The sequence below is a fragment of the Homo sapiens genome, chromosome 13 (assembly GCF_000001405.40).
Source record: "Homo sapiens chromosome 13, GRCh38.p14 Primary Assembly".
Taxonomy (NCBI): domain Eukaryota; kingdom Metazoa; phylum Chordata; class Mammalia; order Primates; family Hominidae; genus Homo; species Homo sapiens.
In genome coordinates, this window is record NC_000013.11 from 105,095,786 (window position 1) to 105,109,191 (window position 13,406).

At 34.4% G+C, this 13,406-nt stretch overlaps 1 annotated feature.

Annotated features, from left to right (window-relative positions):
* Positions 11,953-12,491: an enhancer, noted in NCBI's record as "OCT4-NANOG hESC enhancer chr13:105760089-105760627 (GRCh37/hg19 assembly coordinates)". NCBI's record gives its function as "activates a minimal SCP1, AML or CMV promoter by ChIP-STARR-seq in primed H9 embryonic stem cells {active_cell/tissue: H9 hESC(primed)}" and the evidence as "EXISTENCE:reporter gene assay evidence [ECO:0000049][PMID:30033119]".

Here is a 13,406-nt window from a genome sequence, read left to right on the forward strand (position 1 = left end):
AACAGAATCTTCTGAGATGAAATATTTTCCAGAGCACAGAGAACAGGATGAGGCCCTTAGAGGTAGAAAGAGAAGGGTGAGGGAAAGAGAGCAGCTCATCAACATTTGGGACAACTCACATTAGGCAGTTCAAACTGTCACCACCAGCTGTCCTTTCCAGGTTCACCTGGAAATACTGCTGTAGTAGTCTATTAAAATTTTAGTAACATTTTGCATAGAGTAAGTTTTCGAAGAGTATTAAAGAAACTGAAGATTGAGTCTACACTTGGATTTAGTATTTCAATAACTGTTACCTGTTCACAATTTTCACCCACCAACCATTGACTTTAAAATAAATCACATAGGACTATATATATATGAATATATGGTACTATGTTTATATATAAATATAGGTCTATATATACACACATTATATTTATATGACTATATATAGTATATATTTATTTAAAACTCTCTATCTTATATATAAATATATATTTGTCCTTAATCACAAAACACATTTGCATATAACATAGTTGAAATCAGAAAATAATATCTGTAGTTCGGACTTCCTTGATATTAATTCTCTCAGAAAAATTTAACAAAACCTGGAAAATAAGATGAGAAGTACTAGAGAGTACTAATTTCAACCTCTACAAACAAAGTATTTAAACCACGCATTCATTCATTTTATTCACTTAAAAATGTTTTCCAATTATATGACTTCTGGGCATGTGACAAGCCTTGAATATACATGGCCAAGAAGCAACTGAAATCCTCTACTTTCAGGAGCCTGCATTTCTTGTAGAAGATATGTATTAAAAAGTATTTGATCTCATCCTACATGGCAACTATAATTATGAAGGAAGCGCAACAAACCTCAGGTAAGTATCATAGGTAGACTCTACCTCATTTAAGGGTCTATTTTGCCACACCAAAAAGTGACTTTTGATCTGAAGCCCACAGCATGAGACAGATTGCCTAGGCAAGCACGCCAAGGGTACAGAAGTAGGAGTGTCTTAAACAGAAGAAACAGCATATGGAAGTGGTTTTCCAAATTTAACATGTATCAGAAACACCTGGAGGGCTTGTGAAAGTGTAGACTGCTGGGATCTGCGCACAGGGTTTCTGATTCAGAAGTCTAGGATGTGACCCCAAAGGTTGCTTTTCTAATAAATGCCCAGATGAGGTTGATACTGCTGTTCTAGGAACCTACTTTGAAAAACATTACTATATAATATATTTTTGACATGAGAGAGCACTGATCAAGTGAGGGATGAAAATAAGCCAGCATTCTTAAAAGACGAAAGAAAATGGGAAGCAATCTCAAGGTGCAATTTCTAGGGAGATCAAGACCACGCCATCGAGCATTTCTTAAGCTTTCGTTAAAGATCTTTATCTATAGGTATTGGAGAGACATCAAAGCTTTTAAGCAGGAAGGAACAATTTGATGGGTTAAAAAAATTTCATTCTAGCTATGAATGTAGGTAGAGAAGGGTTGGATAAGCATACAGGGCTGAGAATATCAGCAAGAGCATGGTAGTTGTGATGGTCTATGGTGATTAAGTGAATAAAAAAGGCACAAAAAAATAGGAGCTTGACAAGTTACTTGGAGTTAAAAACAAACAAAACAACTAATAAACAAAGTGGATCGTTTATTTTAATGAGACCAAATATAGCGCACTGATTTAAAAAGAAATAATTCTGAATTTTATCGGTCTCTTGGATAAGGAATAACAGAAGAAGGGGATACTTCTGATTCCAATAAAATAAAGAAGTAGGTTACCATGAAAATCTTCCTACAAATAGCTAAACACTCTGGATTAAATCCAGCTTTTTAAAATAATGCTAGAGCTAAAATTGGCAGCAAAATCTGCAGGGGCTATAAGTTAAGAGGAAGCTAACAATCAGGAAACAGAGAGGTTGGCAATTGCTCAACTGAGCCCTAAAGTGATGAGAGGCTTGGGAAATATCAGACATTTCTGCCCCAAAGATTGGGAGGAAATCAAACTCATGAATGGGATGAAAGCCCTGACCTTTGGCAATGCTAAAATCTCAGTGACAAGATAACTTAGGCTGCCCAAAACATGAAGTTGAGAGATAATATAATGATGAGGCTACTTATGTCTATACTTGGGGGCTGAGGGTAAGGGTATTTTTCCAAAAAATGTTGAGTTCTCATGCTGGCACCTTGCTTTCTATTCATTTGATTTTATATTACTGAAGAGCTGTTTAATGATCAGGCCCATATGAATATAAAAATCAGCCCCAAGACAATGACAATCTAGTATAAGCAACAGATACAAACTCAAGGCCAACTTGGAGAATACTTCAAATACTGAATAGAAATAAGTAAAGGAAAAAGGAAATCATATCTAATAAAAAGAAATTATCCACCATACAGAAAAGGAGCAGGCGTAACAATAAGCAGGGTTAGTCGCCACAAAACTTGAGATAAGAGGAAAACTAAAAAAGTCTAATGAAATCAGTAGTCTTAAAAAGATGACATGATAGGAAGAGAAGTGTTAAAAAAGAAAAAAAATAGGTATGAAAGAGAGTAACACATACCGGAAAAGGGATAAAATACATCCTTTGAAAGAACAAAGAGTTATTCAAATTGAATTCTTAATGAATTACTTAAACAGCAGATTAGATATTGTTAAAAAGAGGAATAGGGAATTAAATGATATATGTGATGATATTACCTAGTGTAACCATCAAAGATGTATTGCAAATGATAAAGAAAAAAATGCTGCCATGGCAATATTAATATCATAAAAATATACTTTAAGAAGTAAATAAATGCAACTAGGAATAGAGAAAGCTAATGAATAATAATATTTAAAAAAAAGTATAACAAGTATACATAAGATGTAATATCCTAAACCGGTGACACATACTGTTATAAGACCAAAGTATATGAAATGAAATTCACAAATTTATCCCCCAGAACCAACTAATGCACAACATAATTAGGAATTTTAACATCTTCTATTTATAATAACCCTTTTTCAAAATGTTTTAAAACAAGTGATCCACACAGACATGAAAAGAATTAAAGAATATAAAAATATAATTAGCAAGGTGAAAGAGAGATTGTTACATCACATATAAAAACATGAATATAATTTTGAAGTGTAGATAGATAATTCCAATCACCAACATAGGACACAAAAAAAGTCTCAACAAATACAAAGACAGATGACATATCATGCACACACCATAAAATGCTGAATTCATATTTTGAAAAATCACCAAAAGCATCATACTTTGGAAAACAAAAAATATATATTTAAATAATTCATGTGTTATAAAACAAATAACAGAACATACAAAAGACACAATACTGATTAATGATAATATTAGCAAATGATATCTCAAAACATGGAGGCTGCAACTGTAGCAGTACTTTGAGGGACATTTTCCATTTTAAAATTAATTTCCACAAAAAGGCTGAGAAATGCATGATAAATATTTAGTTCAGAGAGTTAGATAAATAACAAAAGGGTAAGCACAAAAAATATTTGTGTAAGAACATAATCAATATAAGATATGTCTATGGAAAATATTTTTTAACCTGATTCTTTAAAAAACAAATACTGTTGATAAAACTCTGCCATGATGAATCAAGAAAATATAAAGAATATAAACATGCAAACACTAGAAATTAAAATAATGTAAAACAATAAATTCAATGGCTTAAAAATCAAAATCGTCTAAATAGCTTTACAATCTACATAGAATAGAAATTTTCAAAAAGTAAAAATTATTAAAACTGATTCAAAATGAAATGTAAGCCTCAATAAACTACTTGTAAAACTTAAAGCTGTAGTTTAATTTCTCTAGTTTAAAATCTATTTAAGAAATTTCTATAAAACCCTAAAAGAAGTAATCTCAAAATTATATAAACTGTCCCAAAGACTTAAAAGAGGCCAGAGAACTGAGAAAGAGCTTCCAAACTCATTTTATAAGGCTACCATAGCTGTAATAGCAAAACTAGGCAAAGATAGCCTGAAAAAGGAAAATTATAGATAAATCAAAGTCAAGATTAGATATGCAGAAATGTGAAGTGTAATATTGGCATCACAGCACTCTCACCAAAATTATGAAAGTGAATAAAACACCATGAACAAACTAGGTTTAACCTCTAATGGCCATAATGGTATCATTAGCATTAGACAAACTATATGTTAAATTCTTACCATATTAACAGATTAGAGAGGAAAAGGTGATGTGATCATTTCAATTCATGTAAAAATAATAATAATTAACAACCAATATATCTAACTGAACCAGTGCATTCAGAAATTAAGGAGAGAAGATAATTCCCTTCATTTGATAGTAAATAACTATCAAACTATCCAAAATAATATATAATGGTAAAATTTTAGAAGCAGTTCAATTAGATTATGAAACAGACAAAAGTTATCACTATTACTATGTGTGCACAGCGTTTTATTGGAGGTCTTGCACCACGGAACAACATATAAGTAGGAAAAAATAAATAAATAATTAGGAGGAAAAACTCAAACAGCAAAACTCTTGTTATAAAAAAAGATGAAAAATGTGATTCTATAATAGAATATTTGAGAGAATATGAGATGATACCAACATTAATAGAATTCTTATAACTGAGTAAACATGTCAATGTATAATAAAAATGAAGATACTGTCAAATTCTGCTGCATACCTGGAAGGGGGAAAAAAATCTAACCAATATATATGTATATTTTTGTTGGTTTGTTTTTCATTTTGAGACAGAGTCTAACTCTGTCACCCAGGCTGGAATGCAGTGGTGCGATTATGGCTCACTGCAACATCAGCCTCCTGGGTTCAGGTGATCCTCCCACCTCAACCTCCCAAGTCGCTGGGACTACAGGTGTGTGCCACCACACCCAGCTATTTTTTATTTTTTTTGTATTTTTTGTAGAGATGAGGTTTCTCCATCTTGCCCAGGTTGGTCTCAAACTCCTGGGCTCCGGTGATCCACCTGCCTTGGCCTCCTAAAGTGCTGGGATTTCAGGTATAAGCCACAGCACCTAGCCTATGCTAGTTTTTAATAAAGTCAATTACAATAATTTGTCAAAGAACTTAAAAGTAAGACATATACTTTTAAAAACATACATGTTTCTCATAAATATATAGAAGTATATTATTCAACGTATATTTTTCTCAAATCATAACTCCATGCAATTCCAATAAAATTTCCACCAGTTTCTTTCTAATGAAACTGAAGAAAAAACGATGTAAGCTTCATATGGAGGAAGAAAAGCCCAAGAATGGCCAAAACAAATTGGAAGAACTAAATTTGTTATTTACTACTTAGGTAAATTCATTATGAAGCTACAGTAATGGGAGGCGGTGGTTGCAGTGAGCCAAGATCGCTCCACTGCACTCCAGCCTGGTGACAGAGTGAGACTCCGTTAAAAAAAAAAAAAAAAGTGTGTTATTGGTATCATGGTAGACAGTATACATGTTCTGAAGGAACTAACCATGCAGCATATGTACATGTAAAATTTTGTAAATGTATTGTAACTTTTTACGACAGGTGAATTTGCAAAGCAGCATGAAAAAATATGTTCTTACTGCATAGCCTACACAAATAACATCTATAAGGCCTCAAAAGGAAAAAAACAAACTAAAAGCTAGATAATTTTTCTATATTGAAATAAACATGTCCTAAATTGAAAGATATCCACATCTGGGAGATGATATTTTCAAAATACATAACTGAAGAAATGATTAGCATACTGAGTATATAAATAATTAAAATCCTAATTATGCACAAGTTTAAAAAATAAAAATTATCAAATCATATAAACAAGTTATTCATAGCTTTCAAGACAAATGAATCAAAAAGAAGAAAATATGAAAGATAATTGCTTGTACAAATAAACAGAAAAATGTATGCTAAAACATAACTATCAAATTAGTGAAATATGCGCAAATTGGATAACTCTAAGTATAACAACACGGAGGAACCATCATACTCATACGCACAAGGATGTATGCCCTCTGATGCTTATAGCTGTATTATTTGCCATCAAAATAGAGTAGAAAGTTCTCTAATACTAGGAGGATAAATAAAGATGTTCTATTGAACAATGGAATGATAATCAGTAGTTTAAGTGTATTGGCTAGATATACATTTTACAGTCTTTATTTTGAATGAACAAGCCAAATGATCCATATAATAAGATACAGTTTATGCAAAATTTTAAAAAAGTAGAAAAGAAATGATACTATTATTTTTGTATATCTCTATCGTCTACCTATGTATCTATCTATCTGTGAACCATCTGTAGAAATTTCTATATCTAAACATAGCTATAGATATGTTAAGTCTAAAGTAATCTTGGATTATGATATAAAACAAGGGATACCACTGGGCCAGGGAGAAAGATCCTGTTTTAGGCAGTATTAAGAGCTGCATTTAAGGGAAAGAAAGAGAAAGTAAAAATCACAAAATATTAACATGTACTTGCTACTATTTTTTATACTTTTTACTATGTTTGAAATATTTTATAGTTAAAATGTCCTTCAATCTACCTTTAAAAAACAGGAAAATGTGTATTTTGTAAAATACTAAAGTATTGGCACTTTCTCAAAAAGCAGGGGCACTTTTCTTACTCAGAATTCTACATGAATCCCCACTAAGAGTCCATGCTTAATAAAAGTTAGCCGTATTTATGACACCACACAGAGGAAAGGAGAGCTTCTGGAAAACAAGTGATATATTACTGCTACAGAGTCTGAGCCACATTGCCATAGTAGAATTGAGACGCCACTATAAAACGTCTTTTAGGGTGCAGGCAGTAGCTCTCGCCTGTAATCCCAGAACTTTGGGAGGCCGAGGCGGGTGGATCACTTGTGGATCACTTGTGGTTAGGAGTTTGAGACCAGCCTGGCCAACATGGTGAAAACACATATCTACTAAAAATACAAAAATTAGCCAGGCATGGTGGCGGGCGCATATAATCTCAGCTATTCGGGAGGCTGAGGTCAGAGAATTGCTGGAACCCAGGAGGCAGAGGTTGCAGTGAGCTGAGATTGTGCCATTGCACTCCAGCCTGGGCCAACAATAGCGAGACTCCATCTCAGAGGAAAACACACACACACACACACACACACACACACACACAGAAACAGTCTTGTAATTCTTTGGGTATATATGGGATTGCTGGGTCAAATGATGTTTCTGGTTCTAAATCTTTAAGGAATCACCACACTGTCTTCCACAATGGTTGGACTAATTTACACTCCCACCAACAGTGTAAAAGTGTTCTTATTTATCCACAACCTCGTCAGCATCTGTTGTTTCTTGACTTTAATAATCACCATTCTGACTGGATAAAGAAAATATGGTACATATACACGATGGACTACTATGCAGGCATAAAAAGGAACAAGATCATGTCCTTTGCAGGGACATAGATAAAGCTGGAAGCCATAATCCTCAGCAGACTAATGCAGGAACAGAAAACCAAACACTCCATGTTCTCACTTTTAAGTGGGAGCTGAACAATGAGAACACATGGACACAGGGAGGGGACAACACACACTGGGGCCTGTCAGAGGGGTACAAGGGAGCATTAGGGAAAAGAGCTAATGCACGCTGGGCTTAATACCTAGGTTATGGGTTGCTAGGTGCAGCAAACCACCATGGCACACATTTACCTATGTAACAAACCTGTACATCCTGCACATGTACCCTGGAACTTAAAATAGGAAACAAAAAAACATCTGACAGTACTTAAATGTCCATGGTCAGGTAACATACAAACAGGGTTGAAACCCAATTATTTAATTACAAGTTAATTTCTGAAAATGTGCCCAACTGGTTATGATAAGTAAGGCACAAGGCTTGTCTTGTTGCCTTAAGTCTATTCAGGAGAAAAATCCTTGTTATGAGTGTGGTCCATGGATAAAAAGCATCAGCACCATCTGGGAGCTTGTTAAAAATACAGAATCGAAGTCAATTTCCTAAACCTATAGAATCAAAGTCTGCCTTTTAATGGACAGATGTATGTGCATTTGCATTTGCATTTGAAAGGCATCGCTGTAAAAGTAGTTATTGGAATAAATCTTGATGCTTCCTTGAGGAGACATTTAAAAAGCACTCACTCATTAAAACATATCAATTGTTCTGCCCATTTTCTAAGGAGACAAGTGAAAAGAAAAACAACATACCTTCAGTAAAAACCACTTTCAAAAAGGCAATTTGTATCTGATTTATCTGAACACAGAAGATTAAAATGAGCTTGAATGATTTGTTTATTTTATATTCCATTTTCAATCAGGAAATAAAGTCAATTATCCAATGCCATACTTTAAGTCAAACCTCCAAGGTTTTCTGACAAATCAATAGAAAGCAACAAATTTCTTTTTCTTAAGAGATAGATAACAGGAATACTGGATTCTACTGTGACCTGTGTCCAGATCCCAGTTTGATGCTGAGTCTGATACAAAGTATCTTTATGACCAGAGGAAAATACAACAAAACAGAATAAACAAACTATTAAGCTTCACTGTGCCTTAGTTTGCTAATGTAAAAAAGAAAATATTATACAAACACCTTTGTGTTTTGTTAGACAAATGAGTACATGCAAGAGATGTTTTTCTCAGTTAAATATTAATTTGCATCCATAATAGCATTTTTCAAATCTCACCCTCGTTCCAAAGGTAAATTTCCTGCCAACAATGGTTGACAGAGACTGTTTTTTTTTTTTTTTTAACTTCAATTTTCTGTAGAAAAATGTGATGCTGGAGCCTATTTTATACTTTGCTTTTCATTTTTGGTGAGGTTTCAATTCTACATACTGTTCTTCTGATCTCTACAATGAAAGTTTTGTTACAAACCAAAGAACACCAGAAATTTGTGTGCAAAACAAGACATCCTATTCAGAGAGCATAAAATGTTTCATCTTGACTTTTGATGAAAATCTTAGAAAACTAGAATTGATTCAGTGAAGCTGCACTTCACTGCTGAACTTCACTGTTTTAAAAGTTTCAATTTAAAAAGGAGAGCATACGTTGAATAATGAGTATTTTCCAGGCATGTGAATTGTTTTAAATGAATCAATGTTATGTTTAGACAATTTCAGAAAACGTAATGCAGGATCATTGATATTTCTATTTTTTAATAATAATCATCCTCCTAAAGAAAACAAATATATTTAAAATTAGGAAATCACAATTACAACGTCTAGCTCAAAACCCTACAAATATCAGGGGAGGTTGACTATTCTGTAATAGTATACATTGGATCCCTTCGGTTATTTTAGCAAAATTTAGCTAACGAAATTTACATTATGTGTTAAACTATTTCACATTCTCTGAATAACTCAAAGATGAAAACATCGTATCTAATTTATTTTGTTAAATTCTTCCTCTTACATCTTTGTATTGTACTATTGTTGCTCTTTCTGATGCAAGTACCAGGAAGACAGCTATTTAATTCTTGTCTCCCTTAGAAAAGTATCTGTGAATTAGCACTGACTTTAGCAGGAAAATTAAAAAGAAAAAGAAAATACAACTGTGTTAAAACTATAGCTGTGTGATTTCTATCAATAAAAAATAAAATTCAAATATGATTGTTTTTTCATGAGTGTTGTTGATAATGTCATGTGAATAAATACAGGGGGCAAATGTTTAAAACTCCTACCTAAATTCCAGGTTCAATTCCAACAGGTAAAGTGATTGGAAATTATCACTCTTACCCTTGTAACAAGAAAAAATACTTGACAAAACTTAAAATCAATGACTTTACTTAGACTCATCAGAAACTGAAGTTTCAGGGCAAATTGCCTGCCCCAAATCTGGAGAGACAAGAGAATACAGAGAATTATAGCCAAGATCGATCAATCAGTTTACCTACAGCAGAAGCCCCTGGAGCCCCACACTGGTAGGAATGCCTAAGTGGTAACTGATGAATTGCTGGAGACAGAGTGTAGACCAACATGAAAGCGGCCAAATACTTAGGAGAAGAACAACTCTTCATAGGATTTTCCTCTAAGAAGCCAACTGGGTTTTTCATTGTGAAGAGGCAAGCAAAAACGAACAAACAAACCCCAAACCGATAAACAAACAAACAAACAAAACTTAGTGTTTCTAGTGGGGAGGGGCAGAGAAGGAAAAAAAAATTGGAAACAAGCCCAGAGAGTTCTCCAGAACAAAGACCTACCTATTAGCAGGGCTGAGACTCTCCAAGATATTTTTTCTACTTAGGAGAAGAGAATTATCCAATGAGGACATACTCCAGCCTTCCTGTATTATGAAGAAAGAGGAGAGAGATGGTGAGAAACAGTAGTGAAGTTCACATCCAAGGTGCACAGAACCACCAAAACACTGACACTGAGCTTAATCCTAAAATTACATGTTCTCTTCTCTCCACAATTCATCACATCAGCCCAGCTCTAGAATAATGATGGATTATAGGTAAAACAACAAGGCAGAGATGCTAATTAAGAAAGAGATTTTAGGGTAACCTAAAGACAAAAGGGGATACAAAAATAAGTGCACAAGAGAAAACAGACACTTCTAGCCCCAAGAAGATGTAAATTCTTCATTACTAGTCACCTAACTGTAATGTGTCAACATACGCAAGGCAAAATAAATAAATTAACTAGTGAAAAGAGAAATAGAGACAAATCCACAATTACAACTAGACTTCAACATCCATCTTTCAGTAGTGTTAAAATAAAAATGTTATAGACAAATTAAATTTAACAGTGTTGAATTGAGCAAAGAATGATTTCCAAATTGGGGAGAATCCCATCCAAATAGGTTCAGAATGACTCCTGAGCTGCCATGAGGTCAGGAAGGATTTATGAACAGAGAAAGGAAAGTGCAGAAAACAGAGGTGGAGTACAGAAATGGCTGGATTGGTTATAGCTTGGTGTTTGCCTTACTTGAGCATGGCTTGGAGAGTTGGTCATGTGAAAGGAAAACATCTTGGGCCTCCAAAATCACTAAGCTATAGGGAAAAGTCAAGCTGGGAACTGCTTAGGGCAAACCTGCCTTCCATTATGTTCAAAGTCATCCCTCTGCTCACTGAGATAAATGCATATCTGATTGCCTCCTTTGGAAAGGCTAATCAGAAACTCAAAAGAATGCAACCATTTGTCTCTCACTTACCTGTGACCTAGAAGCCCCCTCCTTGCTTAGAGTTGTCCTGCTTTTGCTTCAAGTTGTCCTGCCTTTCAGGACCAAACCAATGTTCATTTTACATATGTTGATTGATGTCTCATATCTCCATAAAAATGTATAAAACCAGGCTGCGTTCTGAACACCTTGGGCACCTGTCATCAGGATTTCCTGAGGCTGTGTCATGGGTGTACATCCTCAACCTTGGAAAAATAAACTTTCTAAATTGAGACCCGTCTCAAATCTAGGGGGGTTTATAGTCACCAGTGAGTGGGTGAAGTATGGCTACTGTGATTGGCTGAAACTTGACTACTTGTTACAAGAATAGGTTACTGTCTGTTTGCACACCTAGTTATGTTTCAGATCACTACATACAGAGAAACCTTTAGACCAAACTAAAATACATAAGGAGGCAGCTTTAGGCTAACCTAAACTTCATAGTTCATAGATTAAACAGGTACAAAATCAGTACAAATATAGGGGACCCAAACAGCACCATCTAATTGAACTTACACACATTCACTCCACCACCCATTCATGATAGAAACTCTCAGCAAACTAGGAATAGAGATAAACTTCCTCAACTCAATAAACACCATTAACAAAAACCCTACAGTTAGTGTCACTGTCCAATGGGTTCTTCCTGCCTGCTGCACAAATAAAGATCACAACATTGAAGTAAAGAAAAAGTTTAATTGATGTTAGGATGGCCACACCAAGGATCAGAGAGAGTTATTACTTAAATCAATCTTATCGAAGGCTCCTAGGTTAGGAGTTTTTCAAAGGCAGGTTAGGGGAAGTCGGGGGAGTAGCTAGCAATGGGTGCTTGCTGCTGATTAGTTAGGGTGGAGTTGAAATCATCATAGGGAGTCAAAACTGTCCTCTTGAGCTGAACTGCTTTGGGGTGGAGCCACAGGAGTGGGGTTGGCAAATCCAGGTGGAGCCGTGGGTGTTAGACATATGAAAAACCTGAAAACGTATCTCAAAAGGCTGATCTACAAAAGTAAAGTTGCATATCTCATGGCCAGTCCACATCTTGGCAGAATTCAGGTTCCTCTTCTCTTGCTAGCCGGATGGCCTTTCATTAGCTTTACAAAGCTGATTGAGTTTTGTAGAAGGGCTATTATCATTTAAATTATAAACTAAATATCTCCCAAAGTTAGCTTAGCCTAATTCCAGGAACAATTAAGGGAAAGGCAAGATGTGGCAGTGGGAGGTGTAGATCAGGTCTCTTTCACTGTTATAATTTTCTAATTGTCATAATTTTTGCAAGGGTGTTTTTATTAGCAGCTTACTTAATGATAGGAAACTGGACACTTTCTCTCTAAGTTTGGAAACAAGATGAGAATGCTCCCCTCACCACTCATTCATTGCAGTACTGGAATTCTTAACTAATGCAATAAGGTAAGAAGAGAAAGGAACATTTACGTAAATTGAGAAAGAAAAAACAATATTCTATTGCAGATGCCATGATTGTCCATGGAGAAAATCCAAAACAGGAAAATGAAATAAAATAAAATAAAATAAAATAAAATAAAATAAAATAAAATAAAAAGCACACTTAGAACTAATAAGTAATTATAATAGGGTCACCACATACAAGATTGATATGCAAAAATTAATTGCCTTCCTATATACCAGAAATGAAAAATAGATATTTAACATTAAAAACACAATACCTTTTATAATAGTGCTGAAAATGGAAACACTTAGGGATAAATCTAAGAAAGAAAATACTATCTATATGCAGAAACACTGATAAAATAATCAAAAAAGTTATAAATAAAAGGAGAGATGTTACATGTTCTCAAACCGGGGTAGTATAATTTTTAGAGCAGTCTTAGGTTCACAACAAAATTAAACAGAAGATACAGAGATTTCCCAGATACCTACCACCCCTGCACATGAATAGCCTTCTCCACAATCAACATCCTCCACCAAAGTGGTACATTTGTTATAATTAATAAACCTACACCAACCCATCATTTTCACCAAAGGTCCACAGTTTCCATTAGAACTACTCTTGGTGTTTTATATTCTGTCTTGACAGATGCATAATGGCAGGTGTTCACCATTATAGTATTATACAGAGTAGTTTCACTGCCCTAAAAATCCTCTGTGCTCCACATATTCACCCCATTAGTGCTCTCTACTAACCCCTTATAATTACTAATTTTTATACTGCCTCCATTGTTTTGCCTATTAGAGAATGTAATGAAGTTGAAATAATACAGTATGTAGACTTTCAGATTGGCTTCTATCACTTAATAATATGTATTTAA